General features: G+C 39.8%; 1 protein-coding gene across 1 annotated transcript in view, besides 2 other annotated features; it reads left to right on the top strand.

Moving 5' to 3' along the window:
• Window positions 1–26,815, top strand: part of GPR149 (G protein-coupled receptor 149) — a 95,248-nt gene that overhangs the window by 39,895 nt on the left and 28,538 nt on the right. The gene's annotated exons all lie outside the window — the stretch shown is intronic.
• Window positions 6,311–6,480: an enhancer, noted in NCBI's record as "experimental_65451 CRE fragment used in MPRA reporter constructs". NCBI's record gives its function as "activates a minimal promoter by MPRAs in K562 erythroleukemia cells, with activity observed for both the introgressed and non-introgressed 3:154101690 variant alleles {active_cell/tissue: K562}" and the evidence as "EXISTENCE:reporter gene assay evidence [ECO:0000049][PMID:34662402]".
• Window positions 26,577–26,746: an enhancer, noted in NCBI's record as "experimental_65446 CRE fragment used in MPRA reporter constructs". NCBI's record gives its function as "activates a minimal promoter by MPRAs in K562 erythroleukemia cells, with activity observed for both the introgressed and non-introgressed 3:154081424 variant alleles {active_cell/tissue: K562}" and the evidence as "EXISTENCE:reporter gene assay evidence [ECO:0000049][PMID:34662402]".

The following is a 26,815-nucleotide window of genomic DNA, read 5'->3' as shown; positions in this document are numbered from 1 at the left end:
TTTGAATTTTCTATCAGGTAAATCATATCTCTGTTTCATTAGGGTTGGTTTCTGGAAGATTATCGTGTTGCTTTGTTTGGAACATATTTTCCTGTTTCTTTATTCTCGACTCTTTGTGTTTATGTCCGCACTCCCAGTCTTCATGGATTGACCTTGTACAGGAGAGGATCCTCACCAGTCAGACCAGCCAGAGATTCCAGGGGCCCCTCAAATCCTCATGCTAGATAAAACTGTGACCTTTGTTCTCACTGATCATCAGGCATCTAGAACATGCTAGGTCTTATCAGAGTTCTGAGACAGATAAGACAGATGTCAATGCCTCTGGCAGCCCTCAGCACAATCAGAGTTTTGGAAGTATGGTCCAATTCTTTTCTTCCCTCACAAGAGAAAATCTGGAGCTAAGGATTTTTCCTACCCAAACACTTTGCATTGAGCAAGGGAGTGGGGCTGTGGCATGTGTTAACTTACTATTTCAAACCACAGTTTCTGGTCTCATTAGCTCCCAGGTAGCTATAATATGCCAGATTTCATTAATCCTCTAAGGCAGGCAAGACAGGATTCAGTGCTTTGGGAACCCTCCAAAAATATTAGAGCATTGGATTCATTGTCCTATTCTTTCTTACCCTTCCCATAGAGACACTGGGAGCTCTTTTGTTTGTTTCTGCTTGTTTCCCTTGTGCTGAGCTGGGCTGCTTCATGTGTTAGCTTGCCATTTCAAACCACAGTCATTATTCTCAGTAGCCCCAGGTGGCTGTAGTGTTCCTGGTTCCATCAGCTCTCCAAGGCAAGTGAGACAGAAGCCAGTATCTCAGGTGGCCTCCAAAAAAAATTCAAATGCTGAATGTATGGTCTTGTCCTTTCTTCCCTCCTCAGAGAAAAGCTGGGAGCTAGGATCTCCCCCAGTTGTATGGCACCATGACCATGCCAGGGGTAGGGCCCTTGGCAAGAGGGTGTCCTTGTCTCTCTTGCTGGTTTTCATGTAGTTGGTTTTACACTTGCTCCAGGATGCAGGAGACTTGTAACTAGTTTCTGGATTTCTCACAAAGTAAATTAGTTTGTATTTTATTATAGAATCATTGTTTCCATTGAGGAAAGATGGATCCAGGGCTTCTATTCTACCATCTTGCTGACATTACTGATTGAATTTTCAAATCTTTATATCTCCAAGAGCCTAGTATAGTGCCTAGTGTGAAATTAATACTCCATAAGAATGAACGAATGAATGAATGGATGAATGCCCTGGGGTTCAACCACTTTCTCCCATATTTTCCTACAAGTGATTTACCTTTTTATGGAGCTTTGAGGAAATCCATTTGCTCTTCCTCCTCACCTGGATTAACTCCCACTCCCATTCCTGAGGAAGTGCTTTTATGCAAGATGAAGTGGTTCTTTGTGTGTGTGTGTGTGTGTGTGTGTGTGTGTGTTTTTCATATGTGTGAAATGTTACCATAACCCTGGTTCTTCTGACAGTAGTCAATTTATCAGAAAGAATTCTCCTTTCTAGTGTCTGTGGTATGAATGATAAAGTTCAGTGTTAGGATGGTCAACCTCCAGCACATACAGATAGACTGGGGTCAAGTTAAGGGCAATAGAGTCAGGTGGAATAGAGTTAGGGAACGCTGAGTAATGGATTATAGCCTGCCTGCCTCTGTTCCTGCCTGTCAGCTCCACAGGCATTGCTGGGAAGGAGGCAAGGACTATGCTTTCTGAATGCTGTTTCTAAGGTACCAGAAAATTACTCCTAAATTAGCCCTCAGGTAAAAGCACAATTGGAGGCTCAAGTATATAGAAACTAAGAAAAATACAGAAATAGTAGCTAAGAGAACAGTGGAAAGCTGGGGAGAAAGAGAGACAGAGACAGAGGAAAAAAGATGTAGAGAAATTGAATTCTCCTAACACACTTAGGAAAAGCAAAAGGAAAATTGGATTCCAAATTGGCACTTTTCCCACAAACTACAGTCCATAAGGGTGTGTGTGTGTGTGTATATATATGTGTATATATATATGAATACTGCTGTTTACTCATCAATTTACAGTGTATTTTTCACAACTAATTTATAGATGAAAAAACAGTAAATGTAAAAGCACTATAAATGTAAGGTAACATAGATCAGTGGATTTTTCTAAATAACTCATTAACTAAAGCATACTTTTCCAAAATAACCTGAAAAACAAGTGTTTTTAAAAGTATTTTATTAGAATCTATATAGTTCACATATCAATATGCTTTCCTGCAATTCAAAATAGGCAAAAATGATTATTTCTTTATTTTAAATATCTCTGCACATTGAGGCAAGTTATAAAAATCAATGTCCCCACACATTAAAAAAATAAGCTATGCTTAGACTTGTTTTTCTTGCTGTTTGTCTTATTATTTTTTCAGTTTTTTTAAGGTCATGCCATAGAGGTTCACAAGACGTGTATTGTTTAATAATAGAAACAGCATAGGTAGAGTAAAAATGTTTCCAGTTTTGATTTGTTTTGTTTTTCCTGAGGGTAGATTTTTTAGCACTCTGGAGAGTGCCCGGAGCTTGCTTGATATAATGATAATAATGTACTCTCTAATAAGAAACCCTGGTTCTTTAGATGTGATCTCATTTATTTTTCACCATTCCCATGAGATGGAAGAAGGCACAGATTTTTGAAGCTTAATTAAGACAACCAGAGATAGTAGATGATTGAACTGGGGAAATAATTTAGGCTCACTGACTCATACTCTACCAAAATTGAAGGAGACATGGGATCTGACCTATACTTGGCTCCAGACAGGTTTGAGCTTATGTCAGGCTCACTGCATTTCAACCTCAGACACCGTGAGAAGAATATGAGTATGCTTCTGACATGGCCTATATTATTCACTCAACAAACATTCATTGAGCCCAAGGCTGGGTCTGAAACATTCAGTGCCAAATAAGACCAAGCCCTTGTTCTCAAGTAACTCAGAGATCAGAAGGAACAGGAGGGCACAGATAATGACAGTACCTCAAGAAAATTGAGTTCTACAGTTTGTGCAAAAGTGTTACAGGCACGGGTAATTTTGCCAAAAAGAGAAGTGAAGTCATTACAGCTTTCACTGTGAGCCTTGAAAGGAATAATAGTTCACCCTGCAGAAAAGGTGGGAGGAAGAGAGTGTGCTCAACACCCATAAGCATAAAATGTCCAGGAACTTTTCGCATTTCTTTTCAGTATAAAATGTATATTCAAAAATTGTCATGATAGGTATTGTTTTATATATATTCAGTTAATGGTTTTAAATGTTAACATATGTTGTAGCATAATCCTGAGATTCTCTCGGCTATTTCCCTTAATAGGGAAAAAAAAAGGAGAAAAATATACTTTAGCTCCTTCTTCCAAAAAAGAAAAGCTGAATTTATCCCAGTTGAATAGGAGGGAAATACATACATTATTATAAAATTTTTAAAATATTGGCTCTTCTATTCAGATATATTTAACCTTATTATTGGGAATTGTTTTATAAGAAAAAATTATAACATTATTTTTTAGCTATCCAAATCTTAACATCAGCTATATGAGAATTCAATCGCAGTGGTTTTGCTTCCTTTTTTGTCCTTAATCTTTTGTTTTCTTCAGCATGTCTTTTACAGGAGTAGCTTGTCCATAGAACACAGTCTCCCTAAGGCAGGTTCTAGGTGAAATCAAAGAGTAGAAGGTGATATCTCCTGAGGGGATGACACATGTTGCTTGAAGGAATTGGTTTGCACTACAAAGGGCTTCCTGTGCAGTAAGGAGATGAATACAAGCTCAACCTTGAAACTCTGATCTTCTGTTTTTAAATGTCTGTACCAACAGCCTTTTCTTATGACAACAGAGTCACACTATGAGACAGTGCCACCCAGGTTTCTCAACAGAGTATGCCCTTGACATCAGGTATGAATCTCTGGTGGGAATTCGTCAGGCTGAGCCTGTACTGTTGCAAACAAAGGTAGACAGACATTCTTGCGTCTTTAGAAATGATGTGTAGCTCTTTGCAATTGTGTAAGTTATAATTGCAGGTCTTTGGAGTCAGAACCAGGTACTTCAAAACTGGTATTGTCTAGTCCTGATTCACAACTATTGTTAGACCTCTTTTTGACTCTCAATTCCCTTAACTAAAAAGGAGGATGAAAACACTCACTTCACCAGATATTAAGGTAAAACAAGATAAAAGTATGAAATATCCTTCAAATATTAGATATTTTTATTCATTAAATATGTATTTAATAATGTATTCATTCAACTAATATTTGTCACAAGCCATTAGTCATTCCCCTTACCTGTACCTGAAGAGTCAGAGAGTTATAGAAATTTGTGTCATGCCTGTAATCCCAGCACTTTGGGAGGCCAAGGCAGGCAGATCACGAGGTCAGAAGATCGAGACCATCCTGGCTAACAGGGTGAAACCCCCGTCTCTACTAAAAATACAAAAAATAGCTGGGCGTGGTGGCAGGCACCTGTAGTCCCAGCTACTAGGGAGGCTGAGGCAGGCGAATGGTGTGAACCCGGAAGGTGGAGCTTGCAATGAGCCAAGATGGCGCCACTGCACTCCAGCCTGGGCGACAGAGCAAGACTCCTTATAAAAAAAAAAAAAAAAGAAAGAAAGAAAGAAAGAAATTTGTGAAAGTTATTGCATTGGAGATCTTTGGATGTGTGACTGTCCCTTATACAGCTCCTAAGAGTGAAGTTCATGTGTAGATGTGATTGTATAATAAAAACGAACAAACCAAAAAGAGTTTCCTTAAAATCACACAGCTGGTAAAAAGCCTAATCAACATCCTACCCAGAGTGTCAGACTCCAGTATTCACTTTCAACTCTTTTTGCCCTGCTCACTCCCCAGAAGACAAGGCAGTAATTCACAAAGAGGACAATGATTGGTTTATTGGAATTTTACAAAACATTTGTACCCAAGGGTGTTGTTCCTGTAGTAAGAGTGCCTCTTCTGATTTTCAAGCTTCTTATTGTTCACAACCGGTACAAAAAATATGAAAGCCCGCTCTAAATTTTCCATCTCCAAAGAATTCGCAGGGATTGGGGATGAAAGCCAGGTGAAATAATCTCCAATTCCATCATCCTGCCCTACAGCAGACATAGCACAAATTTCTTTTTAGCAAATTAGCTGAAAATCTAGTCATCTCTAGCTAAAAATATCTAAACACCAAGCACAAACAGATCCAAGTTCAACACATAAGCTCAGCTATGCACTCACACTTTTATCCTTTAGGAAACACACTCATATCCTTTGAGAAATAGTATTTCTGAAGCACAGACACACATACTATCACACGCAAAAGATATTCATCAAAGGCTTTATTTATATATCCATTTGGAGAAAGTCCATAGGAGAATTTGCCAGGAATGAAGATGAAGAGGAGGCAGCAATGATTCGTATTTTGCCCTCTTCTGCCCAAGAGAAATATTGATAACTATTCTATAGTTGTGCCATAGCCAAAAACAGTGGTCATCCTGATGTTAGAATTCCAATGACAAGCCCTAAATTAGCTCTAACCTGGCACAGAGTAATTCTACAAAAGGGCACAAAAACCCCAGAACTTTGGATGGCTTCCTTGTTGCTGGGTAGATTTTGGACTCTAGCTCTGGCTCTGGGACTGATTAATTGTGTAACAGTGAGCAGGCTCTTTGCCTGTGTTTTCTCATCTGAAAAATGAGGCATTTGAGAAAAACAGGAAGATTGGAGCTAAATAGCCTCAGGTCTTTTTCAGCCCTAAAAATGCTATAGTTTGTAATTCTTTCATACATTGCACAGCCCCAAGTTCCACTTTGAAAAGCTTCTGTCTCCAGAGTATTAGAGTTTTCCCCATCCCAGTCATATCAACACAACTTTTAGGCTTCCATGGTTACTATATAATTGTCTCAGTTGGTATTTCTCACTGATGTTGTTTAGAACAGCTGTAGAGGTATGTACCTTGATTATTGGTGCAGTTACTGATGAGGCAAATAACCTTGGTCTTGAATAATTCTTTTTATGCTTGAGGTGTTCCTAATTGCTATATGTAATTAAAGAGCCTGAACATATAGAAGCTATGAGAAAGTGAGTTTAGTTTACTGAAAATAAGATCTCACCCGAGGCTTTATGTAAACGCCTGGGGCTTTTTAATCTTCACAGTTTTCTAAATGTCCTTTAAGTTTCAGCACTCTGAGTGCAAAGTACATTGTCTCAATGCAGTATCTTGTATGTAAATTTCTCTCATCTTGTCTTAGTTGGCTCAGGCTGTTATAACAAAATACCATAAATAAGCTTATAAATAGCTTATTTCCTCCGAATAGCTTAAAAACAACAAAAACTTATTTCTCACAGTTCTGGAGGCTGGAAAGTCCAAGATCAAGGCACTGGCAAAGTCGGTGTCTGGTAAAGGTCTGCTTTTTAGTTCAGAGACAACCGTCTTCTCACTGTGTCGTCGCATGGTAGAGAAAGGGCAAACAAGCTCCCTTGGGCTGTTTTACAAGGGCACTAATCCTACTCATGAGGGCTCTACCCTCATGACCTAATCATCTCTTAAAATGTCCCCCAATACCATAATTTGGGGGATTAAAGATCAACATACAAATTTTGGGGGGACACAAACATCCAGACCATAGCATCTCCTCAAATATCAAGGAATGACTATAGTACCTCTGTTTTCCAAGCATATGCCCATGAACTCTAAACACTGAAAAATTTGCCACACAAAGTATAAATCAGAACTTTGTCATGGAAGTGTCCATAAATGACTTGAAAAGAGTCTGCAAGTGTCCACATATGACTGTATCAAGTCAACAGGCATTTTTTTTAACTACTTCGATATGGCAAGCAGTGTGCCCCATATTCACTGTGAAGGACTCGCACAAAGTAAGAAATAGAAATACTGCTTCCTTCCTAGGAAATAAATCTATAGAATCAGGTGCCCCCAATCTCAGCCAAACCTAACTTGAATCATTTCCTTTAATGGAACTGCCCATGATTTCAAAGAAGCAGAGATGATATGTTAAGTCTGAGATGGCATAAATTTGGCCTGCTCAGTGGAATGTCTCGCCCCCATTCCTGTTTCCCCAGCTTCTGCCTGCCCCAGTTCTCCCACAGCTGGGTCAACTCATTTAATCTTCTACAGATCCAGCCTCACTATTTATTTTCAGAGCAATTTGAGTTTTAGCAGGATATAAATAAGTAGCCTCAAGCCCAATGCCTCCATTTATCTAGGCTTATTATAGCACCCCTTTTCCTGCAGGCTGGCCCCAGCAATGGACACAGGCACTATGTCCTAGGCTGCCCTCACTTCATTCTCAACGAGAGCCATTCTGTATTGTTTCCAGATCCCACCACCCTCATCCCAACCCTAATCCTGCCCCACTAATTTCAGTCCGCATTGAAAACAGACCAAGTCATCAAAAATCAGTTCCCTGAAGGAGCAATTTTTTGAATGACTAATTCACTGAATGTAATAAATTTTCTAGTGTGCCAACAATTTTGTTGAAACATTTATTTTGAGTATATTAAATTAATTTGAGTATATTAAATTAAAACAATATTGAAGACACACTTTGTTTAGATATGATTAAGAATGTATTCTTCTTGAGTATATGAAATATGAATATTCTCATGAACCTATTCTTCAGGAACATACTCATACTCATAAGAAAACTAAATGACTCGTGATTTTCAGCATTTATAAATTTGAGCATTATTTAAAATACAGCTGAGTAAAATATATTAATTGAAGATATTCAAAAGGACTATTTTTCAATATGATATTTTGATAATTGAAAAATTTGATCAAGTGGTCATTTGACATTTGACCCTTTAGTGAATTAGCTTTCTGCAAATTGACTTGTCAATGGGATCTCGAGCCATCTGAGTGCTGTGTTCATACTTCTATACTTACCAGCAGCCTTCCTGGATTTCTGAGTGTTTCCCCACACCATCCACCTTGGTTGAGCTCTGCTACATCTGACCCCTGGTGTTGACTGGAGAATGCCATTCCCTGAAGTAGCTGGGTCTTACTTATGTGACTGAAACACCATTGCTAGATGCCTTGCCCTACCCAAATGGTGCCACATAGCTCTAAGACCCAACTCCTCTTCCAATCTCCTGCTCAGCATCACTGGTGAATCTTGAGCTATGACAGAACCAACAGCCTGTGCTCTTCTACTTTCAAAACCCAGATTTTAAATGTCTTCTAGTCTCTCATAATCATGCAAAGGGGATAAGAAAACTTGAAAACTCTCAGAGATATGTATTAAGATTGACTCACTATGTAGAAAAAAATCTTCTCTGGCTTTTAACCAACTATCTCTATTAGAAAAAACCTTATCATTTAGGGTATGATAGAAGTAGCTGGGCAAGAAAGTGGATCATTTTTAGCATCTATTTGACGCATCTGGGTTAAGAATAATATTTTCCCTTACTTCCTTATAAAGACAAATATGTATTCCTAAACAATTTATGCTAGGAAGTAATAACATATTTTTTTTAATAGTGCACATCACCAAATTCAATTTTGGATATTATGACTTATCAACAAGGCTTTCCTGGTCTTTCATAAACAGACTTCAAATAATTACCTTTATTTCTTCAAATAGACCTACATAAGTTGTTAGAGTAGTTCCACCAAACATCCTAAAGTCTTTTTTACCTTGCAGATCCTCATCCTCACCACAGATATAATGACTTTATATTAAATATCTTAAACCAATTAGAGATTTCTGGTATGGTATGAAACATTTCAAAATAATTATCAGTTATAAAAAAACTAAATCCTAAAAACTTGACGACTAACAGAGCTGTATTAATTTGTAAATACAGCCATTAAAATAGTAAAACCTTATTTTTCTTGGCACTCAAGAAAAATGCTAGTTTAAAAAGCTTGATTTCTCAGATAAAAATATTGTAGCAATTGTTGAACTGCCACATGTATAAGGTATAGTTATCAGAAAAGCAAGTATATGAGGAGCAACGAGAACACATCAGTTCTTTGGGTTATTTTCTGTTAGATTGTGACAATGTGAATGGAACGGATGAGATCATGTGAATAGCAACAGGTGCTGGGGTCCAGTGAATACACCATGATGGTCTACAGTGACCTTCTCCAAGGGTATCCATGTTTTATTCAGTATAAGTATTTTAACCTGGAAAAAAATATTTCAATTGCATCCATCATGATGGCATGCTTAACTGCCTTTTGGAGGCTTTATTTATAATAATGGTTTTCTAAAACTGACTACACGTTAGAATTATCTAATGATGTCCTGTTTCATATAGACTAATTAAGTTAAAAAATTCTGAGTGTGGAGACCTGATCTTTGTATTTTTTAAATTTTCTCCAAGAGATTCTGATGAGAACCTAGGTTGGAAAACACTGGTTTTGAGCATAATATCTGCTGGATTCAAAAAATAAAATAGCTATAGGAATTTTCTTTCAGCTCTTTCTGCTAATGGAGCCTGGTCATTGGCTTTAATGTTCCTCCTTTTAAAACCCCATATCTGACATTGGCTTAGCTCAAAAGATACTGAGCTTGAATTTGCTTGGGATTTATTTGGACACCTGGTCTAATAGCAAGTGGTTAAGCTAGTAGGTTTTCATTTAAAAAAAACTCTATATGAATAATTTAATTCTTAAATGCTTTTATAGAGTTGGATATTGGCAGTTTGAATTTAATTGATTTCAAGGACAAAATTTGACCTTGAAATAATTTATAGGGCTGGGTACAGTGACTCTTGCCTCTAATCCCAACACTTTGGGAGGCTGAGGCAGAAAGATCCACATAAATAATTTAGTGCAATCATATAAATGTAGGAATAGTGTAGAGGCAGTTCCGTTGCAAAATATGGTTTGTGCCTTTCTCGTTAACTTTATTTTGTTGTCTTCCTTATTTCTGTTAAATGACTGGGACAACAGTGGGGATTAGGAGAGATGGACATCAATTCAAATAGTAGAGAAACCTTTACACCAAACAATAATTTTTTGATTTTGAGGGTTTCTGCTGTGCGATACAATGCATGCAGTTAACTTTCTGGAAGCACAGTGAAAGCATAAAAGCTAGTTCCAGTCCACTGCACACCATTGATACTTGCCAGTTTAGCCAATGGAAAATTCTCTCTCTCTCTCTCTCTCTCTCTCTCTCTCTCTCTCTCTCTCTGTCTCTCTCACACACACACACACAAATTTTGTCAGAGGTGTTAATGAATAAGAGCTAGCAAATGTAAACTGTGTACCAAAACAAAATATATATATATTCACTTACCATATGAGCCTAATTATTTGATTCTCTAGACAATAGAAGATCATTCTGGGTTTTGTTGGGGGAGTTGTTTATTTTTATTTGTTTGCTTGCTTGTTTCTACCAAAAGATGAACAGAAAACACACATACACATATATATCCCCAAATTTATCCTGTGTTTAAATCTTATATTTTAAGAAAAAATACACAGAACTTACACTATCTGACTTCAAAACTCGCTATAAAGACACAGTAATTATGACAGTTCATGACTGGCATAAAGATAGACATATAGATATTATAAATGAAACAGAATTAAAGTTCTTACATTTATGGGCAATTGGTTTTTCACAAAGATGCCAAACAATTGAATAGGCAAAGTTTAGACTTTTCAACAAATGGTGCTGGGACACTTGGATATCAATATTCAAAAAATGAAAACAAAAACTTAGGCCCTTTCCTCATACTATACACAAAAATTAACTCAAAATGGGTCAAAGATTTAACTGCAAGAACTAACAAAACTTATAGAAGAAAATTTAGGAAAAAATTACTGTGACCCTGCATTAGGAAAAGAGTTCTTAGATATGACACCAAAAGCACAATCCATAAAATAATAAATTGGTAAAGTTTAACATCAAAGTAAATAAATAAGAGTTTAACATCAAAGTAAATAAATAAATAAGTACATTTAATTTATAAAAGAAAGTAAACAAATAACTTTGTGCTCCAAAAGACATCATTAAGAAAATGAATAGATAAGCCATAAACTGGAAAAAAAAAAAACCTTTGCAAGTGATATATCTGATAAAGGACTTTTTTTTTTTTTTTTTTTTTTGAGACGGAGTCTCGCTCTGTCGCCCAGGTCGGACTGCGGACTGCAGTGGCGCAATCTCGGCTCACTGCAAGCTCCGCTTCCCGGGTTCACGCCATTCTCCTGCCTCAGCCTCCCGAGTAGCTGGGACTACAGGCGCCCGCCACCGCGCCCGGCTAATTTTTTGTATTTTTAGTAGAGACGGGGTTTCACCTTGTTAGCCAGGATGGTCTTGATCTCCTGACCTCATGATCCACCCGCCTCGGCCTCCCAAAGTGCTGGGATTACAGGCGTGAGCCACCGCGCCCGGCCGATAAAGGACTTTTATATCCAGAATATATAAAGAACTCTTACAAACCAGACAACCTAATTTAGCCAGTTTTTAAAATGGAGAAAAGATTTAAACAGATATTTGATCAAAGATATAAGTGGCTAATAATCACATAAAAAGATCCTCAAAATCATTAGACAAACAGAAATTAAAACCACAATGAGATACCACTACACACCCACAAAAATGGCTACAATCAAAAAGGTACAGCAATAAGTGTTGGTGAGGTTAAAAAATGAAACGTGCATTGCTGGTGGGAATGTAAAATTCTAAATTTCTGTACAGACTATTGCACAACCTGTTTGGAAAACAAAGTTGTACAAATTAATTGGAAAATAGTTGAGCTGTTTCCTTAAAAATTAAACATAAACTTATAACACAAGCCAGGAATTCCACTCCTAGCATTCTACCAAAAAAAATTAAAAACATGTGTCCCTACAAAGGCAGCTACATGAATGGTTACAACAGCATTGTTCATAACAGCCAAAGATTGTAAGTAATCCAAATGTTCCTCAAGTAGAGAATGGATTAAAAATGTGTTATATAGTTCCGGTGTGGTGGCTTACACCTGTAATCCCAGCACTTTGGGAGCCCAAGGTGGGCAGATCACTTGAGGCCAGGAGTTCAAAACCAGCCTGGCCAACATGGTGAAACACTGTCTCTACTAAAAATGCGAAATAATAATAATAATAAGCCAGGTGTGGTGGTGCACACATGTAATCCCAGCTACTCCAGTGGCTGAGGCACAAGGATCACTGGAACCCGGGAAGCAGAGGTTGCAGTGAGACAAAATCATGCCACTGCACTCCATTCTGCATGGCAGAGGGGACTCCATCTCAAAAAAAAAAAAAGGGGGGGGGGATATATCAATATAATGAGATCCTGTTAAGCAATATAAAGAAATGAACTCCTGATACATCCTACCACATGAAAAACTTCAAAAACAGTATGCAAAGTAAGAGAAGCCAGACCCAAAAAACTACATATTGTGTGATTTCTTTTATATAAATGTCCATAAAATTTAAATATATATAACCAGAGGCATGTCAGTGATTATCAGGGCTGGGAAGCTGGAGCTAGGAATTAACTAAAAATGGGCATGAAGCAATTTCTGTGGGATATAATGGAACTGTTCTAAAACTGGATTGTGGTGATGGTTTCACAACTCTATAAATTTACTAAATATCATTGAACTGCACTCTTTACAATGAGTTAGTTTAGTGGAATGCAAATTATATTACGAAGAAGTTGTTTGTAAAAATAATTGCAGAGTGGGCCGGGCACAGTGGCTCACACCTGTAATCCCAGTACTTTGGGAGGCAGAGACGAAGGGATCACGTGAGGTCAGGAGTTCAAGACCAGCCTGGCCAGATGGTGAAACACCGTCTCCACTACAAATACAAAAATTAGCTAGGCATGGTGGCGCACGCCTGTAGTCCCAGCCACTCAGGAAGCTGAGGCAGGAGAATCATTTGAACCCACGAGGTGGAGGTTGCAGTGAGCCAAGATCACACCACTGCACTCCAGCCTGGGTGACAGAATGAGACTCAGTAATAATAATAATAATAATAATAATAATAATAATAATAATTACAGAGCAGATCAAGATCTTCTAGCCCAAAGTTCACTGTTCAATATTAGCTTACAAAGACATGCTTTATAAATTTAAGGACAAAACATCCTTTGCCTAAAATCCCTTTTATTTAATATTCTTGTTGAAAGGCCACACTATCAAATATTCACTAAGTCATAACACATTTCTATTCGATTTACTTTAAAATTATGTTCCACTGGCAATTCACGTCTTTTTACTTTATAAATACCTGCTATGATTTTCTACTATCCTCTACCCCATGTATTTTATTGCTTGTTATCCTCTTTTTTTTTTTTTTTTAATTCAGGGCTACCAGTGCTAACACTAATAGCTAATATTTTTGAAGTATACAGTCTTCTAAATACTTTACACATTTGTTTTATTTCATTATTTCACCTTATTTTATTTAATTCTCAAAATAATTCTATGAAGTGGTCATTATTGTTATCTTTTTATTATGTAAAGGCAACTGAGGCACAGAGAAGTTGCTCAAGGGCATCCATCTGTAAAATGGTAAGGCCAAGATATGACTCCTCTACCCAACCTCTTAACCACTGAGCTGCACTGCCTCTCAGGAGCAGTGCAAGAGAGGGAGTGTTTTTGCATTTTATCTTCCATGTTATAATAGACATGTATATTTTTAGATAAAGCTCTCCAAAACAGAAATGCCCAGTGAACACTGCTGCTTTCCTCCCGTTTCTCTAAGACAAAACATGAAATATGTGAACACATTATATGAATTTGTTTTCCATTCCTCCAAAATATTTGTTTGGTGTTGGTAACTGGAAAAAATTATAAATTCACATACTATATGAATACATATACATGTACACACTTACACATTTATTTGACTTCATTGTAGAACTTTGACATTAATCCCAATAACTAATCTCTTTATACATATTGTTTCATCCTGACATCAACCTGAACAGGGAAAATTGACTTATATAAGCACACAGCTACTACAGATGTCTTTTTAGAAACTGATTATTGATATATAGCAGAGAAACTTAAAATCTCTTTAACTAACTTGAAGTCCTGACCATATGACTTCTTTACAAACAATGAGATGAGTACCCTGAGAGATGCTGCTTCCAGCAACTAAAGATTGAATTAAATCATTAACAAATACATGATAAAAACAGGAATACATTGTATACATTTTGTATTAACTAGGGTTTCCTAGAGAAACAATAGATAAATGATAGCTAGCTAGCTAGATAGACTGAGTAATAGATTCATTATAGAATTTGGCTCACATCATTATGGAGGCTGAGAAGTCCCACAAATTTCTATTTAGAAGATGAAGAAGCTGGAAAGCCAGTGGTATAATTCAGTTCAAGTCAGAAGGCCTGAGAACCAGGGGAGCTGATGGTGTGAGTTCCAGTCTAAGGCCAAAGGCCCTGAAAGCAGGAGCATGGATGTTAGAGAGCAGGGAAAGATGGATGTTCCAGCTAAAACAGGGAGCAAATTTGTGTTTTCTATGGCTTTTTGTTCTATTTAGGCCCTCAGTGGATTGGATGATGCCCACCAGCATTGGTGAGAGCAATATTGTTTGCTGGGTCTGCTGACTGAAATGCTCATCTCTTCTAGAAACACCCTCACAGACCACCCACACCCCCCAAAAAATAATGTGTTACCAGCTGTCTGAGGATCCCTTAGTCCAGTCAAGTTGACATATAAAATGATATACTTTCCATAATCAGGGACATGAATATCTGTCTATTTTCAACATAATTCATCTGTTAAAATGTTTGATAAGACTGACTGCAACTAGGGAATATGAGAAAACATAATTTTATTCATGATAAATTTCAGTATTAGGATTCATTCAGCATGTTAAAAGTTTACATTCTGGAACATACAGTCCTCTGGTAAAAATAATGTTTTAGCTTCAATTTGACAAAATAGCCTACAGGTATTTTGGACAGGAATTTATAGGGAGTTAATACCAACAAAAATGCCCTGTGATAGGCTATGATGATGGTACTGAATAGAGTTCAATAGAGGAAATAGAGGAAAAAAACTCTCTTAAAAAGATTACAGTCATTTGAATTAATACAACATGTACAAAATGTAATGTTTTGGCATGGAACTATTGAAGACAAAGTGTCCTCAAATCATTTGTTAAATTTTTGAAGGTAATGTTTCCTATTTAACCCAAATAAAATTGGATATTGACCCAGTGTGCCTCTAGTAGGAAAAGGAGAGTAAAGTGAAAGAAAATGAAAGAAAGGGAAGCAAGTGATATTAAAAAGTGGCTCTTGGGTAAACACTTTAATTAGCATTTCATATTGAATATTTCTTAAGGAGCATATGAAATGTGAATTTTCAGGAACAAACCTCTGCCAAAAGCTGCCATATAACTAATTCTAAATACTTATCTTTGCTCAAACTGTACCACATTATATAGCTTGGAAGGCTAGCCAGAGGAAACAAGGCTAAGTAACTGTAATAGCAGTCTGTTAGAAAGGTTGGATGTGTTATTGGAAATGCCAGTAGGTTTGCTTAGCCCATTTCAAGTGTTTCTCTGAGGACCAAAGGCTGCCTCACTAATGATGGTATCAGAAAAGCATAAGGCAAGCCAGCAGTCAACTGCTTTTCAATCCTCCCTTGGTTCATAAGATTTGCCATGATTTCTTCTAATATATATATATGCCCTTTGGACCCATATTATAACCCAAATAAATTTGGCATGCCAATGTTCCTCTTCTTTGCTTTTTGAAAATCAGAATATTAATTTTTATGCATTTTGACTAACCCTAGTTTGAGTCTAAAACATCCCTCTATTTCTGGATATTGTGAGGGACTAGAGAGCCCTCACCTTCAGCTACCTACCATTTGGGGACCCTTGGGGAATATTAGGACTTTTGGGCTGAGTGTGTTCACTCATGCCTGTAATCGCAGCACTTTAGGAGGCCAAGGTGGGCGGATCACTTGAGTCCAGGAGTTCGATACCAACCTGGCCAACATGGCGAACCCCATCTTTACAAAAATACAAAAATTATCTGGGTGTCATGGAGCACACCTGTAATCTCGGCTACTCAGAAGGCTCAGGCACAAGAATCGCTTGAACCCAGGAGGCAGAAGTTGCAGTGAGCCAAGATTGTGCCGCTGCACTCCAGCCTGGGCAACAGAAAACAGAAAGAGACTCTGTCTCAAAAAAAAAAAAAAAAGAAAAGAAAAGAAAAGAAAGAAAGAAAATAGAAGGAAAAAAAGACTTTTGTTGGTCACTTCAGATATATGATTGAGCTCTCGAACAGCTCATAAATTTTTTAAACTGGTCAGGAAAACAAACTCTAAGCACCCAAAAGATATTTTCTGTGGCTGTTTTTGTTGTTTTGTTTGTTTGTTTATTTTTTCCCTTTTTTGTTAGACACAAAACTTAAAATTGATTTTCCCATTTTGCTTTCATCCATTAATTGAACAAACATTTGTTAAGTGCCTACTATATGTCAGACCTGTATCAGGCACTGTGAATACAGCAATGAACAATCATTTACTCTATTCATGGTAGGTTAGCTTTACCTAAAATCTCACACATCATACTGGTGCAGAAGATTTGAGGTATAGATGCCTGAATAAAGGAGTCCTGAGAGGAGTAGAAGACAGAGAATTCTAGATGCAACCCATGTATGTTCTTGTCTAAGTCATTTAAGTACAAGAAGGTAGAAAACAGGGTGAGTTGTATCTCTTGTTCTAATCATGTCTGTTCCTAAAATATACAAGCACCATATTTCCTTGAACAAAAACATCTGATGACTAGTTCTGACAGATACAAACAAACATAACAAGAGAGGATTTTATAAAATTGAAACTGTCAGATAAAACACAGGCTATTTAATTAAAGTACTTGGCAATCCGTGATGAAAGCTCCTGGGTTCCTTTCAAAATCTTCCAAGTGCTTTTCGATGTAAATTTCATCAGCCACTGTCCCAGTATGGGCCCCTGGTAGTAAAGAATGTGTATGTTCATCTTTGCATTGATTCCATTTTAGTAGCCTGATTGCTTATCTTGTGTTCCCTGCTCTTCCAGGGATCAATGAGCTTTTCAGTTCTTATCCTACCTGATATCTAAGCAGCATTTGACACTGTTCTACTCCATCCTTGACTTCCATGACATGACACATTCCTGACAATCCTCCTACCTCTTTGGCCCACTTTTTCTCAGCCTCCTTTATTGTCTCCTTTATCTCTGCCCATTCTTTAAATGTCCATGTTCCTTAATACCCTCTTCTCATTTCACACAAACTCCTGATTCAATTTTATTTCAAATATATACCCAAATATTTACTGAAATATATATTCCAGAAAAAATATCTCCTGAGCACCATGCCCTAGACCCAATCTCCTGCTACTGAATTTCTAAAATTGGACATCCAATTTCACCTCAATTTTAGCTTTACAACACTGAATTTATTATCTTCTCCTGAACCCACTATCCCATCCTCCCAAACTTGCTTCTCTTCTGTGTTTCCTGTCTCTGAAAATAATACCATCATCATTCAGTTGCCCAAGCCACGTACTTGGTCTACATTCTTAACTCCTCTTTCTCTGCCGCAACTCACATCAAAGCAGTGACCAAATCCTACAACCTAAATATGTCTTGATATACCAATATCTCATTATAGCCACTATTTCTCATCTATCCTCATCACCATTCTCTCTCCATGACCTCCATACTGGTCCTCTGGCCTTTAGGTTTGAACCCCTTGCTCTGGTTTGAAAATAATGGTGTCCCCTTCAAAATTCATGTTGAAACTTAATCCCCAATACAACAATAGCAGTAACCTTTGGAAGGTGAGATATTGGTATATCTACTTTATGACCTTGCAGCGGCATGGCAAGGGAGACAGGATCTTACAGGATTTTACAAATTGTGTTTACAAGGAATTGGAATTGGGAGCATAGGTAAGGTCTGCTGATCACAGAAAAACTGGTTTTTAACATTCCTTTTAGTTTTGGAGGGCGGAAGGGAGAGAGGGAGCGAGGACACAGGGAAGTTTACAACAAAATTTTCACTGTTAATAGCTTTCTTGGGAAGAAAACACACACACAAATTCTGATGTTAGGAATATTTTAAGCATATATCTTCAATATTATTCATCCAGGACCAAAGTAAGTCCTGATGCAGGAAAGGAGTGAGTTTCACAGCTTTCTGAGCCCCTACTTGACCCAGGAAGCCCAGCTGGAACCTCCTCTCAGTCTCCCCTCTAGACAGGACACCCCAACTGCTGTTGGGAACTGGACGGCAGTCGTTCTGGCTACTTTCTGCTGATGAGGGGCGAAGAAGGGGCCCTGCAGTTGTGGTGTCTTCCAGAGGGGAACTTTTTAGGCTAGTCAGAGACCAGTATGTCGATCCAGGGGTCCTTGGTAGATGCCGTGAGTTGAGCTCATTTGAGGTTCCATTTGTAAGACCATTTGTACCTTGATGGCCTCGATCCTGAGGAAACAAATTTGACAAGGAGGTTAAAAATGCAAGGCCCAAAAACGAGTAGGATGGCTGTCGCAGGGCCTAGAAAGGGGAGGAGCCGAGGTATCCATTGGTTAAACATATTCAAGCGCCCTGAGTGTTCAAGCTCCTTTTTTCTACTTTCTATTTGTTCTCTTATTTCTTTGACCTTTTCAGTAATGATTCCTGACTGGTTAACAAAATAGCAACATTCTTTTCCTAAGAAGAGGCAAGTTCCTCCTTTTTTAGCTGTTAATAAGTCTAGGGCTCTCCGGTTTTGAAGGACTACTGCAGCTAGAGAATTAAGCTGGCTTTGTAGGGTCACTAGGGAGTTGGCAATTCATTCCATGTCATCATTTAATTTTAGTGATAATTTATAATAAATTGGTGGTGGAGGTTATGCCTCCAATTCCAGTCCCAAGCCTGCCCAGTATTCCGACTCCTACAATAAAAGGGACAATAAGGGCTCACGTGTGGCGAGATTGGGGTATAAGGAGACTTTGTAACTCCTGTTCAGTATATATGGACATGGGAGGTGCTAGAAAGGAGAGAAAGCATTGTTCTTTCAGAGTGCCATTTAGGCATCAATAGGCTGTGTTATTATAGATGAAAAAAATGCCTGAAGTTAGACAAGTGAAACCTGAGGTCTTGCACTAGTCTCTGCTGACCATTTGTTTTTTGTATTCCTAGCATTCGGTTATTGCAAGGACTGTTACATTTTCTTACTAAACCTTGAGCTTTTAAATGTCTAACAATATCCTGTAATCCTTTGAGAGCTTTAGGCCTTAAGGTATATTGCCTTTAATAAGGAAAAGTGGTGGGGTCTTTTAGCTTGATTTGGACTGGATGGGCATTCTTTGCCTTTCCAAATTGTCGTTTTAAGGCCCATACCTCAAAGTTGATTCCTTCTTTAATTAGGGACAACAAATAGGTAATTTGTTCCCCATATTCCTGTAGATAATGGCCCCAGCTTTGGCTAATATGTCCCTCCCTAATAAGGGTGTGGGACTTTTGGGCATAACAAGAAAGGCATGTGAAAAGAACAAAGTCTCCTAATGGCAGCTGAGGAGGCAAGAGAAATACCTGGTTACAGGCTGTCTTAAGATTCCTCGGATAGTAATGGACTTTGAGGACAGTCGTTCAGGGCAGGAGATTAAAACTGAGAAGACCACACCAGTGTCCAGGAGGAAGTCCACTTCCTGGACCTCAACAGTCAACCTTACCTGGGACTCTGTGTGGGTGATGGCATGAGCTGGCACTTGCCCCAGGCACATTCAGTCCTGTTGCTGAATCATCTGGTTGGGTGCCTCTGGTCCAGAGGGCCTTCATCCTCTGGAGCAGTGCACCTTCCAAACCTTCCTTTCAAACCTTCTTGGCATATTGGACATGGGCGAGGGGACAGTTTGTTTTTTGTTGGACAATTTTTCTTAAAGTGTCCTTGCAAACTGCACTGATAACAAGCCCTACTAAGCGATTGGCCTCCTCTTCTCTTGGTTCCCTCTGAGCCACCAAGGTCTGCCTGTCTGAGGGCCATGTCTAAGGCTGCAGCCTTTATCTTATCTTGCTTGTCCCTTTTGGCCTGTTCCTCTTGGTCCCTGTTATAGAATACCAAGGTTGCCAGGTTTAATAATGTCTCCAAATTTTGTTCTGGGCCTAAAGCAGACTATGCCAGACACTGATTGGGTGATAAATTTATCCTTTAAAATAAGTTGACCTTCTACAGAATATGGAGTTAGGGAGGTGTGCTTTCTTAGGGCCTCCCTTAGCCTTTCTAGAAAAGCGGAGGGGTTTTTCTCTTTTTCCTGTGTAATTGTGGATAGCATTGAATAGTTGATAGGCTTTTTCCTAGTCTTCCTCAACCCTTCTAAAATGCAAGTTAGCAAATGCCTGCGGCTCCAATCTCCATGATCTGAGTCAGTATCCCAATAAGGGTCTACAGTGGGGGCTGCCTGTTGCCCTGTGGGGAATTTTTCCCTCTCCTCCGGGGTCATTCGATCATTTACCTGGCTAAAGTACCACAGATCCCCAAATTGCCGGGCTACAGCTAAAGCTGCTTCTTTTTCAGTAGGACTTAAGGTCTGATCAAGAAGCAACATGATATCTCTCCATGTTAGATCAAAGGACTGCCCCAATCCTTGCAGGACATCTATATAGTTATAAGGATCATTTGAGAATTTCCCTAAATCTGCCTTTATTTGTTTTAAATCTGAGAGTGAGAAGGGGGCATGCACGTGAATGGGCCCAAATTCTCCTCCTTGTAAGGGACATAGTCCCTTGTAAGGGAGATAGTTTGGGTGCCTGGCTCACGGAGTTTACGTTCTCTTTCCGGTGTGCCTTTAACACTTCGGTGGGACCGGATGGAGGAGAGTCAGTTGGGGAGGAGAGTGGGGTTGAGGGAAGAGGCCCTGAGTGTGGAGGCAACTGTGGGCCTCTGTCATTTGGGCAAAGCTTGCAGGCTTGGCACAGGGCAGTATTGTCACGAAGGGCAAAGAAAACCTGTACATAAGGGACTTTACTAAATTTACCTTTCTGTTTACAGAAAAGATCTAGCTGTAGAAGGGTGTTATAATTAATACTTTCCTCAGAGGGTCAAGTTTCTCCATTTTGTAAGGAATACTGTGGCAAGGCAGTGGTACAGAAGAAAATCAGCCGCTTCTTTTTTAAGGTTTCAGGGTCGAATTTGTCCCATCTTAAGGGAGTGTCCAGTTTTGAAGGCATGGTGCCCATTTGGAATTTTAAACACAGGGATTCCCACACCCGTGGTTAGTCTTGGGACTCGTCTTCCCTATGGCATCCCCCGAGGGTCAGGTCCAGTTGTGCTCAAGGCTCATGGCTGCTTTTCCTGAGCCCTCCATGTACCGGATTTAACCATGCTTACCAGCGGGATGGAAACTTCCCTTGCCCCTGCTGTGCGCCCATTGACCACTAAATGGGGCACAAGGACTGTTGGATTTATTGTGATCCTTCTGCCAATGCATTCTACCTGTTCCAGGGTGGCAAGGCCCGGGTCTGGGGCACCACTGATGCTTGCATGCTAAGGCCCAATTTACGTGGGCCTGGCCATAAAACTGTCCTTCAAGGAGGAATCTCTGAATTAGCAACAGGAGGCTTAGTAAGCATAAAGGGGTGGTAGATGTCTTCTAGGCCAGGGCTGAGAGAACAGCTGCTGTACTCTAGCCTTCTGTCCCCACTTGCCATCAAAGGAGTAAGCCCCTCTCTTAAGGCAGTACCAGTATCCTGTGTCCCAACTGACTATATTTTCTTCCTTCCAATACCAACTATTGAATGGTTGAAATAGCAATTCAACGGCTCTAAGAGCTGTACCCATGCACCACAGATTGTACTTGAGAGGCCCTAAGGAAGGGGAAAACCTATGTGGGAAGCAATGGAGGAAATGCCTTAAGGTTTTTACTATTCACATGAAAATTACAGGCCTGTCTTTAAATTGTCCTGATGTAGGGGACCATACCCTATGGTGGGGAACTGGCCCTTTAAAATAGCCATCAAACGATGATACCTGCCTAAACCCTGGAAGGTACCATGAAGAGGGATCCTCTGGGCACTACCCCAAAAATTTAAGACTTCTAAATAGGGAATCTTGATCCTGCCTAGTGGGAATAACCTTGCTTGCAAGATGAGAAAAGAAGTCTAGCCAGTGGACATTGGGACCCAGGAGACAGGGGTCAGAAGATGTGGTGGTCTCACGCTCAGTAACCCTTGCAGGGGGAGCCTCTGGCGGGGCCATGGTCTCAACCAGGAAATCTGGAAGACTAGAATGTCTACTGATAACTCCCGGGTGTACTTCGGGACCACCACAGAAAGTGAAAGAGTAGGAACTGGGTCCAAACTAACCAACGTTCCCAGCCCTGGAGGGTCGGGGGTTGTTAGACAGCCCTTTTCCAGACAGCCTGACACCCGTGTCTTTAGTCCGGCGGCCGCGCTAATCGCCTTTAAGTGGCTGACAGGTGCCCAGTTTAGCCTCTGAATTCTAAGGAAAGACAGGACAGAATAGCAAGCGAAAGAGGTCTAATCGTACTCACCATGTGAGGATCGAGATGCCTTTCCTGGAGATCCTCCTGGCTGGCTCGCCAAAATGTAACTCCAAAGGTTCTTGCCTTAGCCATGCCAAAGATTTGGTGGGGCGGCCGCCCATGGTGAGAGAGAGACATGGATCAGACCAAGAGAAAAAAAGCTGTAAGTTTTATTGAGCAGAGTGACAGTACAAAGCTTCCACAGCATGGAAGGTGTCCCAAGTGGGTAGCCAGTGTTAGATTTTTCAATTACATTTTAAACTCTTTAAGGAGGGAAATACGTGCAGTGGGAAGATGTTACCAGAGCAAGAAACAAAGACAATTAACATGTCTCAGATCTTGAGGAGAACCGGAATTGTAACTTAAGTTTATCTACTTTATGACCTTGCAGTGGCATGGCAAAGGAGACAGGATCTCACAGGACTTAACAAACTGTGTTTACAAGGAATTGGAATTGGAAGCATAGATAAGGTCTGCTGATCACAGAAAAACTGGCTTTTAACATTCCTTTTAGTTTCGGGGGGGGGAAGGGAGAGAGGGAGAGAGGACACAGGGAAGCTTACAACAAAATTTTCACTGTTTATAGCTTTCTTGGGGAAGAAAACAGAGGCACAAATTCTGATGTTAGGAATATTTTCAGCATATATCTTCAATATTATTCATCCAAGACCAAAATAAGTCCTGATGCAGGAAAGGAGTGAGTTTCACAGCTTTCTGAGCCCCTACTTGACCCAGGAAGCTCAGCTGGAACCTCCTCTCAGAAGCAGCGTGTAGTCTCCACCAGACACCAATCCTGCCAGAGCCTTGATCTTGAACTTTCCAGCCTCCAGAACAGTGAGCAATACATTTCTGTTCTTTATCCAGTCTCAGGTATTTTATTAAAGCAGCACAAATGAACTAAGATGGAAATTTGTTGACAATAAAACCAAACTCTGCAAAATATTTAAAGAGGTTTATTCTGAGCCAATATGAGTGACCATGTCCTGGGGAACAGTTTCAAGAAATCCTGAGAAAGTGTGCCCAAGGTGGTGAAGTTACTGTTTGGTTTTACAGATTTTAGAGAGACAGAAGCCACAGACAAAGATATAAATCAATACATGTAAGGTATACCTTGATTTGGCCCAGAAAGACAGGACATCTCAATGCCAGGGCTTATAGGTCATAGGTAGATTCAAAGATGTTCTGACTGGCAATTGGTTGAAAGGAGTTAAGCTTTACCTAAAGACTTAAAGTCTGTAGAAAGACATTCTTGAGTTAACATAAGGGGAGTTGTGGAGACCAAAGACAGATGAAGCTTTATAGGTAACAGCCATCACAGAGAATAGATGTAAATGTCTCTTTTTGGACCTTAAAAGGTGTTAGACTCTTAGTTAATCTTTCCTAAATCAGGGAAAGTCCTGGCTGCATTAATGGAGATTGTCTACAGATGCAAATTTCCCCCACCAAAGGCAGCTTTGCAGGGCCATTTTAAATTATGTCACAGAAATGTATTTTGGAGTAAAGTATTTTGATTTCCTTCAGGGTCTGCTATCTGTCATGTAATGCTGTACCAGAGTAGGTTCTAATATGATATCTTATTGCCTCAAGGAGATCAGTCTTATGATCTCTATTTTAATGTCAGTGCTGGTCAGTTGTGCCTAAACTCCAACAGGAAGAGAGTATAACAAGGAGTGTCTGACCTCCCTTTTTGTCATGGCTGAGAATTCAGTTTTTCAGGTTTCTCTAGGGGTCTGTTTGGCCCAAAGAGGGTCCAGTCATTTGGTTGAGGGCCTAGGATTTTATTTTTGGCTTACAGATTGGTACCATAAGTAAGGTATTGTTATAACAAATACCTGAAAATATGGAAACAGCTTTGGAAATAGATAATGGGTAGAGGCTTGACCAGTTTTAAAGTGCGTGCTAGAAAAAGCCTAGATTGCTGTGAATGGAGCATTAAGGGCAATTCTGGTGAGGTCTCAGAAGAGAAAAGCAGTATAAAAGCTTCAGTGTTAGATATTATCTAAGTGGTCATGAACAGACTGTGGGTAGAAATATGGATAGAAAAGAGCATTTTGAAGACATCTTAGATGGAAATAAGGCATATCTTATTGGAAACTGGAGGAAAGGTCATCTTTGTTACAAAGTGGCAAAGAACTGCCTGAATTATGTTCATGTCCTAATCCTTTGTGGAAGGCAAAATTTAAGGGCCATGAACTAAGACATTTGGTGGAAGAAATCTCTAGGCAAAGTGTTCAGGGTGGTGCATGGCTTTTCTTAACCGCTTATAGTAAAGTGTGAGAAGAGAAAAAATGCTCGAGATTGAATTTACGGTCAAAAGTAGAGCAGAAGGTAAAGATTTGAAAAAATTTCAGCTTGGTTATATAAAGAACAAAAGTATGGTTAAGGAGGGAAAACTGAGGATGTGGCCAAGCTACTCATTGATAAGGAAATTAGTATGAATAGAGGGAAGCCAGATGCTATTGATCAAAACAATGGAAGAATAACTCTGAAGGCATTTTGGAGATCTTTGAGACTGCCACTCCCATCACAGGCCAAGAATACCAGAGACTTGAAGGCAGAAGTTTCAAAGGAGGGGCCCAGGGCACCTGTGGAACCTTGGGGTTTGCTGCCCAGGGTCACCTCAAGTCTCTCCTCCCCCATACTCTGGTGAACTGCTCCCAGCTGTGGGGTTAAAAGGTATCAACATTCATCATTGAAGTGGTGCTAAGATTGCAAGCATGCAAAGTACACAAGCTGTGGAGGTATTGCTACCTCCACCTAGATTTCAAAGGATGACTCAGAGAGTCTCAGGTGGCCAGGCAAAGAAATGCCACAGGAGCAGGGTGGCTGCAGAGAGTCTCCAGTAGAGCAATGCCTAGCAGAGTCATGGGGTGGGGCCACTGCAAAAAGTCCCCACCAGGGCAATGCCTAGCAGGTCTGTGAAGGTGGGGCCACCACAGAGTCTCTACTTAGTCAATGTCTCATGAAGCTGTGGGAGTAAGGCTGCCCTGAAACTCCAGAACTCTAGAACTGCCAGAGTGCAATCCCAGCTTGCAGGCACATGACTCCAACTCATGAGAACTGCTGCATGAGCAGCATCCAGCAAAGCCATGGGGGTGGGATCCCCCAGGGCCTTTGGAGCCCAACTTCAGTCTCAGTAAGTCCGTAAGACAGGAGATAGAGCTGAAGAAGATTATTCTCAAGACTTGATATTCAACGTTGTTTTCCCTTTTAGGTTTTGGACTTACTTGAAACGTATTACTTCTTTCTTCTTGCCTATTTCTCCCTTTTGAGATGAAAATGTCTGTGTCATGCCTATCTCACCATTGTATTTTGAAAGTAGATAATTTGTTTGATTTCACAGGCTCATAGCTAGAGAGTAATTTGCCTGAGATGATTTATACCTTGAGTCTCACTCACATCTGATTTAGATGATATTTAGATAAGACTTTGGACTTAGACTTTAAAGTTGATTCTGAAACAAGTTAAGACTTTTGGGGTCTACTGGAATGGAATGATGTATTTCGTATGTGAGAAAAACATGAATTTTGAGGATCCAAGAGTGGAATGCTATGGTTTAAATCATGATGTCTTCTCCAAAACTCATGTTGTAACTTAATGCCCAATGCAGTAGTATTAAGAAGTATGACTTTTGAAAGGTGATTAGACCTGTGGGTTCTGCCCTCATGAATGGGATTGTTGCAGCTTTTTTACTCCCATAGTTCAGCAAGCAGGAGGGAGTGGCACCCAGTGGCTTCACTTCTTCACTCCCATACCTTGGTTAGTAGGAGGGAGTGGTGCCCAGCAGCTTCGCTTCTTCTCTCCCATTGTTCCATGAGAGGGAGAGAGAGTTACAGCTCTTTTATTCCTGCTGCCCACAGCTCAGCACAGCTTCCACTCCTGCATTTCAGTGAGTTCCAGGTTCTTGTCCCACAACCAAGAGGAATAAGGTACATGAACACTGGAGAGTGAGTAAGGCAGAGTAGAATTTTATTGAGCCACAGAAAGAAAGCTGTCAGTGGGAGGGGGACCCAAAAGTGGGTTGTCATCTGGGGTTTTTATGGGCTTAAAATAGGGGAATGCACGCTGATTTGTCCATGGCTGGTCTTGGAAAAAGCACCTTTGGATTGAAAAGGCATCATTCAGAAGGAACCAACCAAGAGAGACTGGGCAAGACAGGGATGGAAGTTCTCACTCCTGTCATGGACTCTATCCAGAAGTGGCAGCTTGGTTTTCAGGTTTTAGACTGCCCTTGGCTTGAAGGTTGGATTTCACTGGGGACTTGTCCCTGTCTGCCTAAGGAATTTGTCTGTTTCCTGTCACTATCAGGATTAACATCCTTATAAATGGGCTCAAGGTTGAAGAGAGCACCCTCTTCCCTGTCATTTTTGCTATGAGAGGACA

Source organism: Homo sapiens, chromosome 3 (assembly GCF_000001405.40).
Source record: "Homo sapiens chromosome 3, GRCh38.p14 Primary Assembly".
Taxonomy (NCBI): Eukaryota; Metazoa; Chordata; class Mammalia; order Primates; family Hominidae; genus Homo; species Homo sapiens.
Note: the sequence above shows the minus strand (reverse complement) of the source record. Positions and strands in the feature narration are given on the sequence as shown.